Raw genomic sequence first — 20,142 nt, 5'->3', positions numbered from 1 at the left:
CAAAGTGCTGGGATCACCACACTTGGCCATCTCCCTCCTTTTTAAAAGAATCTCCTCTGGTTTGGGAGCATCACACACTCTCTTTTTTCCCTTTTCCTTCTCTGGCCACTCCTCAGTCTCCCTCATGCTGGTGGCACATATTATCAGCTGTTTATGCAATAGCCATTCCCTCTGTCTTCCTTAGAAATAAAACCCCCTTGTGATTCAGGGCAGCAAAGTCCTACGATACTTTTTTTTCTGGACTCACTTGGAGTCGGGGTGCATATGTGTCATAGTTCTGGCCCATCAAGAAGTCGGTTGAATGCAGGCTTCTAAGAAAGCTTTTCTTTTCTGGATAAAATGGGGCTGATGGTCACGCGGATTGCTTCAGTCCAGAAATTTAAAAACAGCCTGGGCAATATGGCAAAAGCCCTTCTCTACAAAAAAAAATTAGCCTGGCATGATGGTGCATGCCTGCAGTCTCAGTCACCCAGGAGGCTGAGGTGGGAGGATTGCTTGAGACAGGAAGGTTGAGGCTGCAGTCAGTTGAGATTGTGCCACCGCACAAGAGCCCGAGAAACAGAGTCAGGACCTATCTCAAAAACAAAAACAAAAAACAAAAAACAAAGTGGTTGGGGGCAGGGATGACTGGCCCCATGCCCCTTCTCCTTCTTCTGAATTGTGTTCACGGTACTCAGGGTACAACTGTCAGAGGCATTTGAACCAGAGCAACTCCATCTTGAATAGGAGCTGGGTAAAATGAGGCTGAGACCTACTGGGCTGCATTCCCAGAAAGTTAAGGCATTCTAAGTCACAGGATGAGACAGGAGGTTGGCACAAGACACAGGTCATGAAGACCTTGCTGATAAAACTGTTGCAGTAAAGAAGCCGGCTCTAACCCTCCAAAAACCAAGATGGCCACTAGAGTGACCTCTGGTCCTCCTCACTGCTACACTCCCACCAGCGCCATGACAGTTTATAGATGCCAGGGCAAAGTCAGGAAGTTACCCTACGTGGTCTAAAAAGGGGAGACATGAATAATCCACCCTTTGTTTACCATATCATCAATAAATAACCATAAAAATGAGTAACCAGCAGCCCTTGAGGCTGCTCTGACTATGGAGTAGACATTCTTTTATTCCTCTACTTTCTTTTTTTTTTTTTTTTTGAGACAGAGTTTTCCCTCTTGTTGCCCAGGCTGGAGGGCAGTGGCGTGATCTCGGCTCACAGCAACCTCCGCCTCCCAGGTTCAAGTGATTCTCCTACCTCAGCCTCCCAAGTAGCTGGGATTACAGGCATGCGCCACCATGCCCGGCTAATTTTTGTATTTTTAGTAGAGACGGGGTTTCTCCATGTTGGTCAGGCTGGTCTCGAACTTGCAACCTCAGGTGATCGGCCTGCCTCAGTCTCCCAAAGTGCTGGGATTACAGGCATGAGCCTCTGTGCCCGGCCTCCTCCACTTTCTTAACAAACTTACTTTCACTTTACACTATGAACTTCCCTTGAATTCTTTCTTGTGCGAGATCCAAAAACTCTCTCTTGGGGTCTGGATCGAGACCCCTTTCTTGTAACACAGCTAGTGTACCATGTTGTGACCATGAAGACACAAGTATAAGGATCAAGGCCTTCAGGGAAAGATGACAGAAGAGAAAGTTAAAAGACCCTGGGTCCCCCAAAGTATAATTGATCACCTGTACCACCAGCCTTGGGCTGCCCAGCTCCAGACTTCTTGTTATGTGAAAAGAACACACCCCTGCCGGGTGCGGTGGCTCATGCCTGTAATCCCAACACTTTGGGAAGCTGAGGAGGGCCGATCACGAGGTCAGGAGTTTGAGACCACCCTGGTCAACATGGTGAAACCCCATCTCTACTAAAAATACAAAAACTTAGCCATGCGTGGTGGTGCATACCTGTAGTCCTAGCTACTCAGGAGGCTGAGGCAGAAGAATTGCTTGAACCCGGGAGGTGGAGGTTGCAGTGAGTCAAGATTGTGCCACTGCACTCCAGCCTGGGTGACAGAATAAGACTCCATCTTAGAAAAGAAAAGGAAAAAAAAAAAAAAGAACACACCCCTGTCTTTTTAAAATACTTTTCTTTTTTTTTTTTGAGACAGGGTCGCACTCTGTCACTCAGGCTGGAGTGCAGTGGCTCCATCATGGCTCACTGCAATCTTGACCTCTCTGGCCCAAGCGATCCTCAACCAAATTGCTTTTATTCACAAATTAATGGAATAATTAAAAGAATTATTGTGATTTATATACGTCATCATACTGCAGTTTTAAAAGTACTTTGTTTTTTCTCCCCAAATTCAATTAAGATTACTAAAATTTGTGAGTGGACATTTTTCCTATTTTTCAGTTACTAAGTTTGTCTCTTATTTAAGAAAATGCAGGTCAGGCACGGTGGCTCACGTCTGTAATCCCAGTACTTTGGGAGGCCGAGGCGGGCAGAGCATCTGAGGTCAGGAGTTTAAGACCAGCCTGACCAACATGGTGAAACCCTGACTCTACTGAAAATACAAAAAATTAGCCAGGTGTGGTGGTGGGAGCTTGTAATTTCAGATACTTGGGTGGCTGAGGCAGGAGAATCGCTGGAACCCGGGAGGTGGGGGTTGCAGTGAACCGAGATTGCACCATGGCACTCCAGCCTGGGTTACAGAGCAAGAGTCCATCTCAAAAAAATAAAAGAAAGAAAATGCAATGTCCTCCTTAAGCCTAGAGACTGCCCCATTAGGGTTCTCTTTCATGCATGTACGTGTCTGTAAAGAGAATCATGCTTATGTTTCTGGGCATTTCTAATTGATTTACAACAAACTCAGTCTTAGAGAACATGCACCCAGATGGGGAACATCACAAATTAGTAAGGGGGTTCCACTATCTGTGATCATTATTACAAAGAAACAATTTCCTCTAATATTTCTTGGAAAGTCATTGTTTACAGCGGGGAGATTTTATTACAAAATTCCCCACTTTTTTTGTCTCCACTCTATCAATAACAGGAGCTAAAACATAAAAGATTAACTTACCCTAACTACTGACAAAAAAGCACCTAAAATCTCTTCTTCCCTAAAACCTATCATACTATCAATTTCTAGAATATGTTTACCATTCTGTGACTTCAAAAGCTACAGCAGTAAGAATATATAAAATAAGTACACAGTCTATGTGCCAAAAATTATTAAAATCCTCTTTTTAATTAAAATTAGGCCAGGCGCGGTGGCTCACGCCTGTAATCCCAGCACCTCGGGAGGCTGAGGTGGGTGGATCACCTGAGGTCAAGCGTTCGAGGCCAAACTGGCTAACATGGTGAAACCTCATCTCTACTAAAATACAAAAATTAGCCAGGCATGGTGGCTGGTGCCTGCAATCCCAGCTACTCGGGAGGCTGAGGCAGGCGAATCGCTTGAACCTGGGAGGCAGAGGTTGCAGTGAGCTGAGATCATGCTACTGCACTCCAGCCTGGGTGATAGAGCAAGACTCCGTCTCAAAGAAAAACAACAAAACACAATTAATTAATTAATTTTTTGAGACAGAGTTTTGCTCTTGTTGCCCAGGCTGGAGTGCAATGGCACAATCTCAGCTCACTGCACCCTCAGCCTCCCAGGTTCAAGCGATTCTCCTGCCTCAGCCTACTGAGTAGCTGGGATTACAGACACCTGCCACCATGCCTGACTAATTTTTGTATTTTTAGTAGAGTTGGGATTTCACCATGTTGGTCAGGCTGGTCTTGAACTCCTGACCTCAGGTGATCCACCTGCCTCCCCAAGTGCTAGGATTACAGTCATGAGCCACCGCACTTGGCCTAATTGTAATTAGGTGAGCTGGGCTTGATGGCGGATGCCTGTACTCCCCTCTACTTTGGAAGCTGAGGCAGGAGAATTGCTCGAACGTGGGAGGCAGAGATTGCAGTGGGCCAAGATCACGCCACTGCACTCCAGCCTGGGTGATAGAGCAATACTCCAGCTGAAAAAGAAAAAGAAAAAAGAAAAATTAGGCAAGCATGGTGGCGGGTACCTGTAATCCTAACCACTCACTCAGGAGGGTGAGGCTGGAGAAATGCTTGTACTCTAAAAGTGGAAGTTGTAGTGAGCTGAGATTATGCAATTGCACTCCAGCCTGGGTGACAAGAGTGAAACTCTGTCTCAAAAATTAAAAAAAGAAAGAAAGAAAGAAAAAAAATGTCAAAGGAATGCACAAAGAATAAGAATAAAAAACTAGTAATAATTATATTTATACAAATGAGTGAGAAAAATAACTTTTTTTTTTCTTTTTTGAGATGGAGTCTCACTTTGTCACCCAGGCTGGAGTGCAGGGGCGTGATCTCTGCTCACAGCAACCTCTGCCTCCTGGGTTCATGCGATTCTCCTGCCTCAGCCTCCCGAGTAGCTGGGATTCTAGGTGTGTACCACCATGCCTGGCTAATTTTTGTATTTTTAGTAGAGACGGGGTTTCTCCAGGTTGACCACACTGGTCTTGAACTCCTGAGCTCAGATGATCCACTGGGCTCGGCCTCCCAAATTGCTAGGATTACAGGTGTGAGCCACTGTGCTTGACCTCTTTTCTGAACTTTTCTATGAACCACTTCAACTCAGACTTCCTTTTATTTGTGTACATCAGCAGCTTGAGGGAGTCTCATAGGAAACACTTGGGGAAATAGTGGGGTACACTAGAACGTGCTGCTGCAGACATTGATCAAATGGATAAGGTTCCTGAGTACTATTGTGGTTCAGAGAGGGGCTGGAGTCCTAGCTTGTCCATTATCCAGCTGGCAAGTTAGTCACCTCTGAGAGCCTTAGTTTCTTCGTCTGAAAGATGGTGATCACAGCAATACCTTCATTGCAGAGTGGTTTTATAGTAAGGAATAATGATAAAATAAGTTCTATTGTTCAGCACATAGTAAATACTTATTAAGACTGTTATTTTAATTATTCAATGAGAGTAATTGTAGTAGAAATTTAAGAAGCTAATTTCCTTTTTTTTTTTTTTTTTTTTTGTGAGACAGAGTCTTGCTCTGTCGCCCGGGCTGGACTGCAGTGGCGCAATCTCGGCTCACTGTAACCTCTGCCTCCCACGTTCAAACGATTCTCTTGCCTCAGCCTCCCAAGTAACTGGGATTACAGGCATGTGCCACCATGCCCGGCTAATATTTGTATTTTTAGTACAGATGGGGTTTCGCCACGTTGGCCCAGGCTGGTCTGGAACTCCTGACCTCAGGTGATCTGCCTGCCTCAGCCTCCCAATGTTCTGGGATTACAGGCGTGAGCCACTGTGCCCAGCCTAAGAGGCTAATTTCCATCCAGAAATGTATTATTTGTTTTTTCCTTTAATTTTTTTCCCGATTAAGCAATGCATATTCACTGAGAGAAAATTTGGGAAGTACATTATTTAAGTGTAAAGAAGCATCAAAGAAAATTTTCTAAAATCCCACTATATAGAGGCAACTGCAGTTAGCCTTTTAGCATACTTTGTACCAGTTATTTTTCTATAAAAACTTTTTTTTTGGTAATTTGCATGATTAAGATTATACTGGTTATAGCCTTTTGAATTTTGCTTTTTTTGTTGTTGCTTAACATTATATCATAAACATTTTCCTATATCCTCAAAAAAAATCTTTGTTAGCATATTTTTAAATGAAATTGCTTGTTAGTCTACTGCATTGCTATAGGGTGACCAACCATTCCCACTTGCCTCAGTTGGAGAGGGTTCTTGGGATAGAGAACTTTTATTGGAAAGTCCTGTACAAACTAGGATGAATTAGTCACTCTACTTTTATAAAACCTTATAATTGGATAATTAGGTTGTTTCTATTTTTTAACCTTATAAACAGCACTAATATGAATTTTTTTTAGCAATAATGGCCTTCAAAATTGTTTTATAATAACTATTCTCCTACAAGTTCTTGAGTGAAGAGACCATATCTTTTGGCCTAGATTTTTCTTTTTGGCCTAGATTTAACCCACAGGTCCTGAAGCTCTTATGTAGATGATCAATTAAATATGGTACTAGTCAACTGGCTAACTATTTAGTGCTGTTGAAGGTTAAATTATGTTCACCCCAAAACCATGTTGATGTCTTAACTCCTGGTGCCTGCCAATTGGACCTTACTTTAAAATAAAGTAATTGCAAATGTAGTTAAGGTATGTTCAGGCCAGGTGTCGTAGCTCATGCCTGAAATTCTAGCACTTTGGGAGGCCGAGGCAGGTGGATTGCCTGAGCTCAGGAGTTGGAGACCAGACTGGGCAACATGGTGAAACCCCATCTCTACTAAAAATACAAAAATTAGCCAGGCATGGTGGCACGCACAGGTAATCCCAGCTACTTGGGAGGCTGAGGCAGGAGAATCACTTGAAACTAGGAGGCAGAGGCTGCAGTGAACTGAGATTGTGCCACTGCACTCCAGCCTGGGCGACAGAGAGAGACTCCCTTCCAAAAAACAAACAAACAAATAAATAAACAAACTAAATAAAAATAAAAAAATGCTCCTGTAGTCCCAGATACTCAGGGGGCTAAGGCATGAGAATAGCTTGAACCTGGAGGCAGAGGCTGCAGTGAGCCGAGACTGTGCCACTGCCCTTCAGCCTGGACGACAGAGCGAGACTCGGTCTCAAAACACACAAACAAACAAATAAACAAACAAAAAAAAAGCGTGGTGGTGCGTACTTGTACTCTCAGCTACTTGCAAGGCTGAGGCACAAGAATCGCTTGAACCTGGGAGGCAGAGGCTGCAGTGAGCCAAGATCACGCCACTGCATTCTAGCTTGGGCAACAGATTGAGATTCTGTCTTATAAAATAAAATAAAATAAAATAAAATAAAATAAAATAAAATAAAATAAAGCTATATTCAGATGATTTAGGGTGGACCTCCTAAATCTAATATGTGTAGTGTCCTTGTAGGAAGAGGAGAAGAGACACAGAGACGACACAGAAATAAGAGGGCCACGTGAAGCCACAGACACAGAGAGCAACGAAGCCGTGTGATGGCAGAAGCGGAGGTTGGAGTAAGCAGCTGTAATACAGGGAAAATACAGGGAAAATCTGGAATTGCCAGCAACTTCCAGAAGCTAGGAGAGAGAGTGTGGCCCTGCTGGCACCTCAGTTTGGAACTTTTGGATCCCACAACTGTGGAGAATAAGTTTCTATTGTTTGAAGCCACCCAGTGTGTGGTAGTTTGTTGTGGCAGCCCTAGGAAAGGTGTCTTTGGTGAAAATGGAAGAGTCATGCCATAAACCCAGCGTCATGCATGTGGCTGTGTGTACACAGAATGCTTCCCAATTAGTTTGTATTTTCCATTCCCTCTTTTGCTCCTAGCCTTTGTTTTAAGACGTACTTCATTTCTGCCCTCATTCTGGAAGTGGCCTTCCTTGAAATGAGGACAAAAACTAATCAAATTCTCACCGGGCACGGTGGCTCATGCCTGTAATCCCAGCACTTTGGGAGGCCGAGGCGGGTGGATCACAAGGTCAGGAGTTCAAGACCATCCCGACAAACATGGTGAAACCCCATCTCTACTAAAAATACAAGAAAATTAGCCGGGCGTTGCTGGTGCATGCCTGTAGTCCCAGCTACTCGGGAGGCTGAGGCAGGAGAATGGCGTAAAACCCAGGAGGCAGAAGTTGCAGTGAGCTGAGATCATGCCACTGCACTCCAGCCTGGGAGACAGAGTGAGACTCTGTCTCAAAAAAAAAAAAAAAAAAAACACTAATCAAATTCTCTTATCAGACTTTTTAATATTCTAAAATGATGTATGACTTTTTTTTCTTCTGGATGCTTCTTCACAGTGAGTAGGAAGACTCCTTAAATATTGCTAGTCATGTGCTTTGGTATTTCATGAGTGGCCATAAATTGATGGGTCCTGGGGTTATTGGTCATATTCCAGAAGCTTTTCTCAAAGTAGTTGTGACAGACATATCTATCTAGATAAATTCTTTTATTTTATTTTGTGATATTTTATTTTATTTTTTTGTAGAGGTGGGGTCTCCCTATGTTGTCCAGGCTGGGCTCTGACTCTTGGGCTCAAACGATCCTCTCATCTCGGCCTTCTAAGGTGCTGGGTTTATGCGTGAACCGCCATGCCCCCGACTTATCCAGGTCAATTCTATCAGCATCCTCTTGCTTTCTCTGAGAGCATTTGAATTTCCTCTTTTTTTTTTTTTTTAATTTATTTTTTTATTGATAATTCTTGGGTGTTTCTCACAGAGGGGGATTTGGCAGGGTCATGGGACAATAGTGGAGGGAAGGTCAGCAGATAAACAAGTGAACAAAGGTCTCTGGTTTTCCTAGGCAGAGGACCCTGCGGCCTTCCGCAGTGTTTGTGTCCCTGATTACTTGAGATTAGGGATTGGTGATGACTCTTAACGAGCATGCTGCCTTCAAGCATCTGTTTAACAAAGCACATCTTGCACCGCCCTCAATCCATTTAACCCTGAGTGGACACAGCACATGTTTCAGAGAGCACAGGGTTGGGGGTAAGGTCACAGATCAACAGGATCCCAAGGCAGAGAAATTTTTCTTAGTGCAGAACAAAATGAAAAGTCTCCCATGTCTACTTCTTTCTACACAGACAGGGCAACCATCCGATTTCTCAGTCTTTTCCCCACCTTTCCCGCCTTTCTATTCCACAAAGCCGCCATTGTCATCCTGGCCCGTTCTCAATGAGCTGTTGGGCACACCTCCCAGACGGGGTGGTGGCCGGGCAGAGGGGCTCCTCACTTCCCAGTAGGGGCGGCCAGGCAGAGGCGCCCCTCACCTCCCGGACGGGGCGGCTGGCCGGGCGGGGGGGCTGACCCCCCCCACCTCCCTCCCGGACGGGGCGGCTGGCCGGGCAGAGGGGCTCCTCACTTCCCAGTAGGGGCGGCCGGGCAGAGGCGCCCCTCACCTCCCGGACGGGGAGGCTGGCCGGGCGGGGGGGCTGACCCCCCCCACCTCCCTCCCGGACGGGGCGGCTGGCCGGGCGGGGGGCTGACACCCCCACCTCCCTCCCGGACGGGGCGGCTGGCCGGGCAGAGGGGCTCCTCACTTCCCAGTAGGGGCGGCCGGGCAGAGGCGCCCCTCACCTCCCGGACGGGGCGGCTGGCCGGGCGGGGGGGCTGACCCCCCCCCCACCTCCCTCCCGGACGGGGCGGCTGGCCGGGCGGGGGGCCGACCCCCCCACCTCCCTCCCGGACGGGGCGGCTGGCCGGGCGGGGGGCCGACCCCCCCACCTCCCTCCCGGACGGGGCGGCTGGCCGGGCGGGGGGCCGACCTCCCCACCTCCCTCCCGGACGGGGCGGCTGGCCGGGCAGAGGGGCTCCTCACTTCCCAGTAGGGGCGGCCGGGCAGAGGCGCCCCTCACCTCCCAGACGGGGAGGCTGGCCGGGCGGAGGGCTGACCCCCCAACCTCCCTCCCGGACGGGGCGGCTGGCCGGGCGGGGGGCTGACCCCCCCACCTCCCTCCCGGACGGGGCGGCTGGCCGGGTGGGGGGGCTGACCCCCCCATCTCCCTCCCGGACGGGGTGGCTGGCCGGGCTGAGGGGCTCCTCACTTCCCAGTAGGGGCGGCCGGGCAGAGGCGCCCCTCACCTCCCGGACGGGGCGGCTGGCCAGGCGGGGGGCTGACCCCCCCACCTCCCTCCCGGATGGCACGGCTGGCCGGGCGGCGGGGCTGAACCCCCACCTCCCTCCCTGATGGGGCGGCTGGCCGGGCGGGAGGCTGACCCCCCCCCACCTCCCTCCCGGACGGGGTGGCTGCCGGGCGGAGACGCTCCTCACTTCCCAGATGGGGTGGCTGCCGGGTGGAGAGGCTCCTCACTTCTCAGACGGGGCAGCTGCCGGGCGGAGGGGCTCCTCACTTCTCAGACGGGGCGGTTGCCAGGCAGAGGGTCTCCTCACTTCTCAGACGGGGCGGCCGGGCAGAGACGCTCCTCACCTCCCAGACGGGGTCTCGGCCGGGCAGAGGCGCTCCTCACATCCCAGATGGGGCGGCGGGGCAGAGGCGCTCCCCACATCTCAGACGATGGGCGGCCGGGCAGAGACGCTCCTCACTTCCTAGATGTGATGGCGGCTGGGAAGAGGCGCTCCTCACTTCCTAGATGGGATGGCGGCCGGGCGGAGACGCTCCTCACTTTCCAGACTGGGCAGCCAGGCAGAGGGGCTCCTCACATCCCAGACGATGGGCGGCCAGGCAGAAACACTCCTCACTTCCCAGACGGGGTGGCAGCCGGGCAGAGGCTGCAATCTCGGCACTTTGGGAGGCCAAGGCCGGCGGCTGCTCCTTGCCCTCGGGCCCCGCGGGGCCCGTCCGCTCCTCCAGCCGCTGCCTCCCGGGCGGCGCTCGCCGGCGCGGCGGCAAAGACTGATTGTGGGTCTTAAGACCCTCCCATAAGAGGGTCCCATCCTATACCCTGAGGTAAGGAATGCTGATGTCATGAAGCCTCCGTGAAAATCCACGAGGACAGGGTTCAGGAGCTTCTGGATACTTGAAAAAGTGGAGCCTCCTGAAGGGTGGCACAACCAGGGAGGCCATGGAAGCTCTGAGCCCCTTCCCCCATACCTTGCCTTACATGTCCCTTGAATTTCCTCTTGCCTTATCCTATATCCTCTTGGATATAGAAACTTATTTTTAAAAAGTAATATATTGGATCTGTCTTTAAGACTTTGGTGAAAACAGGCCGGGTGCAGTGGCTCACGCCTGTAATCCCAGCACTTTGGGAGGCCGAGGCAGACGGATCACCTGAGGTCAGGAGTTCAAGACCAGCCTGGCCAACATGGTGAAACCCCGTCTCTACTAAAAATATAAAACTAGCCAGGCGTGGTGGTGGACACCTGTAATCCCAGCTACTCAGGAGGTTGAGGCAGGAGAATTGCTTGAACCCAGGAGGCGGAGGTTGCAGTGAGCTGACACAGTGCCACTGTACTCCAGCCTCGGCGACAGAGTGAGACTGTGTCTCAAAACAAAAAACAAAAAACAAAAACGAAGACTTTGGTGAAAACATGTTAGAGAAACAGACAAAGGGGACTATTTTCTTTCATGCTGATTCCCTAAATTTTTTTTTTTTGAGAGAAAGTCTCTGTCGCCCAGGCTGGAGTGCAGTGGTGCTATCTCGGTTCACTACAACTTCTGCTCCCTGGGTTCAAGCAATTCTTGTTCCTCAGCCTCCCAACTAGCTGGGACTACAGATGTGTGGCACCACGCCTGGCTAATTTTTGTTTTAGTCGAATTGGGGTTTGACCATTTTTTTTTTTTTTTTTGTAATATGGAGTCTCGCTCTTGTCAGCCAGGCTGTAGTGCAGTGGCACAATCTCTGCTCACTGCAAGCTCCCCCTCCCGGGTTCAAATGATTCTTCTGCCTCAGCCTCCCGAGTAGTTGGGATTACAGACGTACATCACCACGCCCAGCTAAGTTTTGTATTTTTAGTAAAGACAGGTTTCATCATGTTGACCAGGCTGATCTCGAACTCCCAACCTCAGGTGATCCACCTGCCTCAGCCTCCCAAAGTGCTGGGATTATAGGCGTGAGCCATCGTGCCCTGCCTGGGGCCTCTTTCCTAAGGCCTCCCATTCATGAGGGTTCTATTCTCATGACCTACTCACCTCACCTCCCAATGAACCCTAGCTTTTAATATCATCTCCTTGAGGGTTAGGTTTCAACGTATGAATTTTGGGGCAGCAAAAACTTTCAGAGTGCTGGTTGTGGTGGCTCACGCCTGTAATCCCAGTACTTTGGGAGGCCGAGGCAGGCAGATCACAAGGTTAAGAGATCAAGAACATCCTGGCCAACATGGTGAAACCCCGTCTCTACTAAAAATACAAAAATTAGCTGGGCTTGGTGGCATGAGCCTGCAGTCCAAGCTACTGGGGAGGCTGAGGCAGGCGAATCACTTGAACCTGGGAGGCGGAGGTTGTAGTGAGCCAAGATTGTGCTACTGCATTCCAGCCTGGTGACGGAGTGAGACTCCGTCTCAAAAAAAAAAAGAAAAGAAAAGAAAAAGAAAAAGAAAAAGAAAATTAGCCACGCGTGGTAGCGGGTGCCTGTAACGCCAGCTACTCCAGCAGCTGAGGCAGGAGAATCCCTTGAACCCAGGAGGCGGGGGTTGCAGTGAGCCTAGATCGTGCCACTGCACTCAAGCCTGGGTGATAGGGCGAGACTGCGTCTCAAAAAAAACAAAAAACAAAACAAAACAAAATAAAATTCAGACAATAGCACAATCTATATATGTGTGTGTGTGTGTGTGTGTATATACATACATATATATGTGTATATATATATATCCTTTTTTTTTTTCAGACAGACTCCCATGTTTAAGCTATTCTTAGCCTCCCAAGTAGCTGGGATTACAGGCGCACACCACCATGCCCGGCTAATTTTTGTATTTTTAGTAGAGATGGGGTTTCACCATGTTGGTCAGGCTGGTCTCGAACTCCTGACCTCGTGATCTGCCCTCCTTGGCCTTGCAAAGCGCTGGGATTACATGTGTGAGCCACCACACCCGGCCAGCACAGTTTATTTAAATTTCCCCATTTGTCTCCAAAATATCCTTTATACTATTTTCCCCTGATTTAGAATCCAATCAAGGTACATGCATTGCATATGATGATCTTGGTTTTTTTTTTTCAGATGGAGTCTTGCTCTGTTGCTCAGGCTGGAGTGCAGTGGCATGATCTCTGCTCATTGCAACCTCCGCCCACCTGGTTCAAGTAATTCTCCTGCCTCAGCCTCCTGAGTAGCTGGGATTACAGGTGCTCACCACCATGCCCAGCTACTTTTTGTACTTTTAGTGGAGATGGGGTTTCACCATGTTAGCCAGGCTGGTCTCGAACTCCTGACCTCGTGATCCACCCACCTTGGCCTCCCACAGTACTGGGATTACAGGTGTGAGCCACCATGCCTGGCCTATTTATTTTTAAAATCAAAATGAATTCAAGCAAATTGGTTATGTCCATAATTGAGAATCTTTTTGTGAACACCATAACTTTTTTCTTTCTTTCTCTCTCTTTCTTTCTCTCTTTTTCTTTCTTTCTTTCTTTGTCTTTCTTTCTTTCTTTCTTTTCCTTCCTTCCTTCCTTCCCTTTCTTTTTCCTTCCTTCCTTTTTTTTTTTTTTTTTTTTTGAGATGGAGTCTCACTCTGTCGCCCAGGCTGGAATGCAGTGGTGATATCTCGGCTCACTGCAAGCTCTGCCTCCCGGGTTCACGCCATTCTCCTGCCTCAGCCTCCTGAGTAGCTGGGACTATGGCGACCGCCACCATGCCCAGCTAATTTTTTGTATTTTTAGTAGAGACAGGGTTTCACCATGTTAGCCAGGATGGTTTCGATCTCTGGACCTCATGATCCGCCCACCTCAGCTTCCCAAAGAGCTGGGATTACAGGCATGAGCCACCGCGTCCGGCTCACTCCTTCCTTCCTTCCTTCCTTCCTTCCTTCCTTCCTTCCTTCCTTCCTTCCTTTCTTGATGGAGTTTTGTTCTTGTTGCCCATGCTGGGGTGCAATGGGGTGGTCTCAGCACACTGCAACCTCTGCCTCCCCGCCTCGGCCTCCCAAAGAGCTGGGATTACAGGCATGAGCCACCTCGTCTGGCTCCTTCCTTCCTTCCTTCCTTCCTTTCCTCCCTCCCTCCCTCCCTCCCTCCCTCCCTCCCTCCCTCCCTCCCTCCTTCCTTCCTTCCTTCCTTCCTTCCTTCCTTCCTTCCTTCCTTCCTTGATGGAGTTTTGTTCTTGTTGCCCAGGCTGGGATGCAATGGCGTGGTCTTAGCTCACTGCAATCTCTGCCTCCCAGGTTCAAGTGATTTTCCTGCCTCAGCCTCCAAAGTAGCTGGGATTACAGGCGCATGCCACCACACCTGGCTAATTTTTGTATTTTTAGTAGAGATGTGGTTTCACCATACTGGCCAGGCTGGTCTTGAACTCCTGGCCTCAGGTGATACACCTGCCTCAGCCTCCCAAAGTTCTGGGATTACAGGTGTGAGCTACCGTGCCCAGCAGAGAGATTTGGCTAGAGACTTTGCCAAGGGGCACCTGTGAATTGGGCAGGTTCAATACCTGTCCTTACAAAGCTCTGAGTGCAGTTCAGGAGCCAGACATCATACATGTAGTCATAATAGTGAGTCATTCATGTCACTGATGGTAAGTGCTCTGAAGAGAAATGCTGTTGACAGAGAATAACAGAGATCTCATCTCAAAGGGGGCCAGAGATGGTGAAAGGAAGAAAGGGGAAAACCCAAGGCAGGTTCTCTGAGGAAATGACTTTTAGGTTGAAACGGGGAGGAGGGGGAATCCACCACCAGGTAAAATGTGGAGTGGGGGGGGGGTTCTCTTTTAGAACTACATTTTCTTTTTCGTTTTTTTCCTTTTTTAGAAAAAGATAAAACATATTTGCAGAGATTGCTAGTCCGCTAATGACTTCTCTGCCCTTCTTCCTTGTCAGAGAACCCCGTTGTCACTCATAATGGCTACATTTCCAGCAATCTTTGCAGTTGCTTATGGCCATGTGATTAATTGTGGCCATTGGAAGTGCCACTTCTGGAATGCACCCTTAAAGAGAGGTGGTATTCCTCTTTCACCAACCTCCCTCTCCCCTGTGACTTGGAACAGGGCCTCAGTGTTGAGCCATCTTCACTCATGTGGCAGGCCAACACCTGTGGGTGGCAGAATGGCAACTGGGGCCACTCCACCACCCCAAGTGCCAACAGTCATGCTTATATCTGAGGCTGAAATAAGCTACTGTCTCATGTATGCCTTTTTTTTTTTTTTTTTGGCAGGGCAGGGGGGAGATGAAGTTCTGTTATATACAATTGAACTTAAATCCTAAGCAAATACAGTATATAATACTTAGCAACACATTTAAATTGAATAAAAGAGAGTATGATAAATATGAATTCTTCTTATCACCCATACACCTCAGAGTTGATTTTAAGACACAAGGAGCGGCCTGGCACCCTGGCTCATGCCTGTAATCCCAGCACTGTGGGAGGCTGAGGTGGGCGGATCACTTGAGGTCAGGAGTTCCAGACCAGCCTGGCCAACAGGGTGAAACCCTGTCTCTACTAAAAATACAAAAATTAGCTGGGTATGATGGTGGGTGCCTGGGAGGCTGAGGCAGGAGAAACACTTGAACCCGGGAGGCGGACGTTGCGGTGAGCTGAGATCTCGCTGCTGCACTCCAGCCTGGGAGACAAAGGGAGACTCCATCTCAAAAAAAAAAAAAAAAAAAAAGAAGAAGAAGGAGGCTGGTCACAGTGGCTCACGCCTCTAATCCCAGCACTTTGGGAGGCTGAGGTGGACAGGTTGCTTGAGGCCAGGAGTTCGAGACCAGCCTGGGCAAAATGGCAAAACTTTGTCTTTACAAAAAATACAAAAATTATTTGGGCGTGGTTGTGTGCACCTGTAGTCCCAGCTACTCAGGAAGCTGAGGTGAAAGGATTGCTTGAGCCCAGGGGGCAGAGGTTGCAGTGAGCCAAGATCACTCCACTGCGCTTTAGCCTGGGTGATAGAGCCAGACCTTGTCTCAAAATAGAATTAAAAAAATAAAGTCTGGGCTTAGTGGCTCACACCTGTAATGACAGCACTTTGGGAGGCCAAGGCTGCACTCCAGCCTGGGAGACAGAGCAAGACTCCATCTCAAAAAAAAAAAAAAAAAACCAAAAAAAAATTAAAAGAAAAAATATTAAATAAAATTAAATATCTGGATTCCCTAGTATAACATCCTTTGCCACCTACATCTAGAATAAAGTGTTATCTTGCAGCCTGTGGTCCTTTTTTTTTTTTTTTTTTGAGACAAATCTCCCTCTGTTTTGGCTCACTGAAACCTCCGTTTCCCGGGTTCAAGTGATTCTCCTACCTCAGCTTCCCAAGTAGCTGGGACTACAGGTGTGTGCCATGAGGCCTGGCTAATTTTTTTGTATTTTTAGTAGAGACGAGGTCTCACCATGTCGCCCAGGCTGGTCTTGAACTCCTGAGCTCAAATGATCCACCTGCTTCAGCCTCCCAAAGTGCTGGGATTACAGGTATAAGCCACCACATCTGGCCCGTGTGGTCCATTTAAAAATAAACTTTTGTTAAAAATATATATATATATATTATAGTGGCTCATGATCTCTTCAGATTTTTCACTCAGCCATTCCTACCTTAGCTGTGAATTTGCTCAGCTGCTCTGGTTTTTGTTCTACTCTAATTTCTGTATCACCTGGAATCAAACCAACTCATTTGAAAAAAAAAAAAAAAAAACTTCATGATCCTGAGAGATGAAGATCAAACTTCATGTGTGCAGTGATTGGTCCCTAAAGCAGGAGGACCAGGCTGTCTTTTGCCACGACCACTGGGCCTTGATCAAAGTGTCTGGGGACGTCCCTCCTGCCTTGGTCCCAGTTCATATTGCTGACTTTTTGTATTGCTACCTGATATCTGAGGTCACTTTAGACTCTGGCTACTTTGGGAGCAATGTTTGAAGAGATCCAGCCCAGAGCTCTGGTTTTATGGCATTTTGGATCTGTGAACCATCTTACTCATCACCAACTGAAGTGACCCCACGCATCCCCACCTTCCCACCACCACACACACGTACAGACAAAGCAAACCTCCATCTGACAAGTGACTTTTGTTGAAAAATCAACACAGTGGTTCTTTTTTTTTTGTTTTTGAGACGGGGTCTCACTCTGTCACCCAGGCTGGAGTGCAGTGGCACAATTTCGGCTCACTGCAACCTCTCCCTCCCGGGTTCAAGCGATTCTCCTGCCTCAGCCCCCTGAGTAGCTGGGATTACAGGCGGCCGCCCCCATCCCCAGCTAATTTTTGTATTTTTGGTACAGTCGGGGGTTTCACCATGTTGACTAGGCTGGTCTCGAACTCCCAACCTCAGGTGATCCAACTGCCTCAGCCTCCCAAAGTGTTGGGATTACAGGCGTGAGCCACTGCGCCTGGCCTAACACAGTGGTTCTTAACTTTTACTATTATTTCACTTGATAAGCAAAAGCATAAACATAAATTCCAGAAAAGTGAAACTACCTGAAGAACACATGGACATTATTCATGGATCCTCTTGTGAGAAGTGCTTGTCCATTTGTGATGCTACAGCGTTCCTTAACATTGTGAGAAATACCCAAATACTACCAGTATTAAACTGTGCTACACACACATACACACAGACACACACACACTCAGAGCTTGCCATCTATTTCTCTACAATGCAACTGGGTTCACATGGGATTAAGACTAATTATAAACTGAGCGCGGTGGCTCACGCCTGTAATCCCAAAACTTTGGGAGGCTGAGGCGGGTGGATCACCTAAGGTCGGGAGTTTGAGACCAGCCTGACCAACATGGTGAAACCCCATATCTACTAAAAATACAAAAAAATTTAGCTGTGCATGGTGGCCGGCACCTGTAGTCGCAGCTACACAGGAAGCTGAGGCAGGAGAATTGCTTGAACCTGGGAGGCAGAGGCTGCAGTGAGCTGAGATCGCGCCACTGCATTCCAGCATGGGCGACAGATCGAGACTCCATCTCAAAAAAAAAAAAAATACTAATTATAGAAATAAATAGATTATGGGAGCCTTGGTTGCACTGTCATAAAATCAATTCATATCTGTGTGGGTCCAAGAGTTTACTTGGCACCATTTTCTCTCTCTTTTTTGAGACGGAGTCTTGCTCTGTCGCCCACGCTGGAGTGCAATGGTGTGATCTCGGCTCACTGCAACCTCTGCCTCCCAGGTTCACGCCATTCTCCTGCCTCAGCCTCCTGAGTAGCTGGGACTACAGGTGCCCGCCACCAAGCCTGGCTAATTTTTTTGTATTTTTAGTAGAAACGGGGTTTCACCATGTTAGCCAGGATGGTCTCGATCTCCTGACCTCGTGATCTGCCCGCCTTGGCCTCCTAAAGTGCTGGGATTACAGGCGTGAGCCACCGCTCCCGGCCACTTGGCACCATTTTCAACATGACTGAAGGGATTCATCCTGCCTTACAGAGAAAGTCAGCTGGAGAGTTAAATGTACAATCTCATAATCGGATTTGTGCTCTGGCTTAGTTGATTCTGAAAAGAATTCAGTCAAATAAAAGCAATGCATTAGAGAATACTATATTGAGCAAAAGATTTTGTGAAATAGCACAGATCCATTGACCATAAGTAATTAGTCAATTTAGCATTCCACTACTATTAATTGAACTTCTGTAGAGCGAGGGGGACTATTGTGAGGGAAACATAAGACTCGGGTCACAACGATGTGTGTTCATGTTCTAGTGATCATTTGCATTAGGTCCCAACCTTTTTGCTGGAAAAACATTGTTTTTGAGTAGTTGCTTAAAGGTACATTACAGTGGTCACTTTAAGAATAGCAGTGAGGCCAGGCACAGTGGTTCATGCTTGTAATCTTAACACTTTGGGAAGCTGAGGCAAGTGAATGGCTTGAGCTCATGAGTTCGAGACCAGCCTGGGCAACATGGCGAGGACCTGTCACTACAAAAAATACAGAAAGCAGCCAGGTGTGGTGGCAGGCCCCTGTAGTCCCAGCTACTTAGGAGGTTGAGGTAGGAGGATCACTTGAGCCCAGGTTGTCGAGGCTGCAGTGAGCCCAAATGGTGCCACTGCCCTCCAGCCTGCATGAGAAAGTGAGACTTTGTCTTAAAAAAAAAAAAAAAAAAAAAAAGCAGTGAAGGCCAGGTGTGCTGCTTCACACCTGTAATCCCAGCACTTTGGGAGGCTGAGGCAGGAGGATCCCTTGAGGCCATGAGTTTGAGACCAGCCTGGGCAGCAACATAGTGAGATTCAATCTCTACATTTTACAAAAGAATAAAGATTAAATATGTGCGTGTGTGTGCGTGTGTGTATTTATGTGTGTGTGTGTGTGTATATATATATACTTTTTTTTTTTTTTGAGATGGAATTTTGCTCTATTGCCCAGGCTGGAGGGCAGTGGCACAATCTCAGCTCACTGCAACCTCCACCTCCTGAGTTCAAGCAATTATCCTGTCTCAGCCTCCCAAGTAGCTGGGACTACAGGCGCACGCCACCATGCCCGGATAATTTTTGTATTTTTAGTAGAAATGGGCTTTCACTATATTGGTCAGGCTGGTCTCAAACTCCTGACCTTAGGTGATCCACCCACCTCGGCCTTCCTAAGTGATGGGATTATAGGCGTGCCCAGCCTAAAATATTTTTTAGAAGTTAAAAAGAAAACAACATTAGCAGTGTAAACAGGGATTTGACCTGAGGCTGCTTTTAGCCCTCACTGTCCATTCTCACACAAGGTCCCTCAAGGTCTAGCGCCTGCCTCTCTCTGCAGTTTCCTGTCTCAGCACGTATCCTCTCTCTCTGTTCTACAGCCAACTGAACTATAGCTCCCTGTGCCTTTACACAAGTTACTCACTCTTCTTGGACTGCTTATCTTTCCCTTTTGACTTAATTCCTTCTCATTCTTCAAGACTTATCATAGTATATACCCAAAAGAACTGAAAGTAGGAACACAGATTTTTTTTTTTTTTTTTTTTTTTTTTGAGACCGAGTCTTGCTCTGTGGCCCAGTCTGGAGTGCAGTGGCACAATCTTGGCTCACTTCAGCCTCCACCTCCTGGGTTCAAGTGATTTTCCTGTCTCAGCCTCCTGAGTAGCTGGGATTACAGGCATGGCTAATTCTTATATTTTTAGTAGAGATGGGGTTTCAGCATGTTGGCCAGGCTGGTCTCAAACTCCTGACCTCAGGTGATCTGCCCACCTTGGCTTCCCAAAGTGCTGGGATTACAGGCGTGAGCCACTGAGCTCAGCCCCCGGTTTTTGTTTTGTTTTGTTTTTTGTTTTTTTCTGAGATGGAGTCTCGCTGTGTTGCCAGGAGTGCAGTGGCGCGATCCCAGCTCACTGCAACCTCTGCCTCTCTGGTTCAGGTGATTCCCCTGCCTCAGTCTCCCAAGTAGCTGGAACTACAGGCACACACCACCATGCCCAGCTAATTTTTTGTCTGTGTTTTAGTAGAGAGGAGGGTTTCACCATGTTAGCCCAGGATGATATCGATCTCTTGACCTGGTGATATGCCCGCCTCTGCCTCCTAAAGTGCTGGGATTACAGGCGTGAGCCACCGCGCTCGGCCACAAACAGATTTTTATACACTTGTCTTCACAGCAGCTTTATTCATAATAGCCAAAAGGTTGAAGCCACCCAAGTGGTCATCAATGAATGAATGGATAAATAAAATGTATATTCATCCAAT

The 20,142-nt window shown here is 48.0% G+C and overlaps 1 annotated feature.

The window, feature by feature from the left end:
* Nucleotides 4,570-4,770: a silencer, noted in NCBI's record as "peak5678 fragment used in MPRA reporter construct". NCBI's record gives its function as "represses an SCP1 promoter by STARR-seq MPRAs in K562 erythroleukemia cells {active_cell/tissue: K562}" and the evidence as "EXISTENCE:reporter gene assay evidence [ECO:0000049][PMID:32103011]".

This window comes from Homo sapiens, chromosome 6, assembly GCF_000001405.40.
Source record: "Homo sapiens chromosome 6, GRCh38.p14 Primary Assembly".
In the NCBI taxonomy this organism is placed as follows: Eukaryota; Metazoa; Chordata; class Mammalia; order Primates; family Hominidae; genus Homo; species Homo sapiens.
This window is presented reverse-complemented; position numbering and strand designations above follow the sequence as displayed.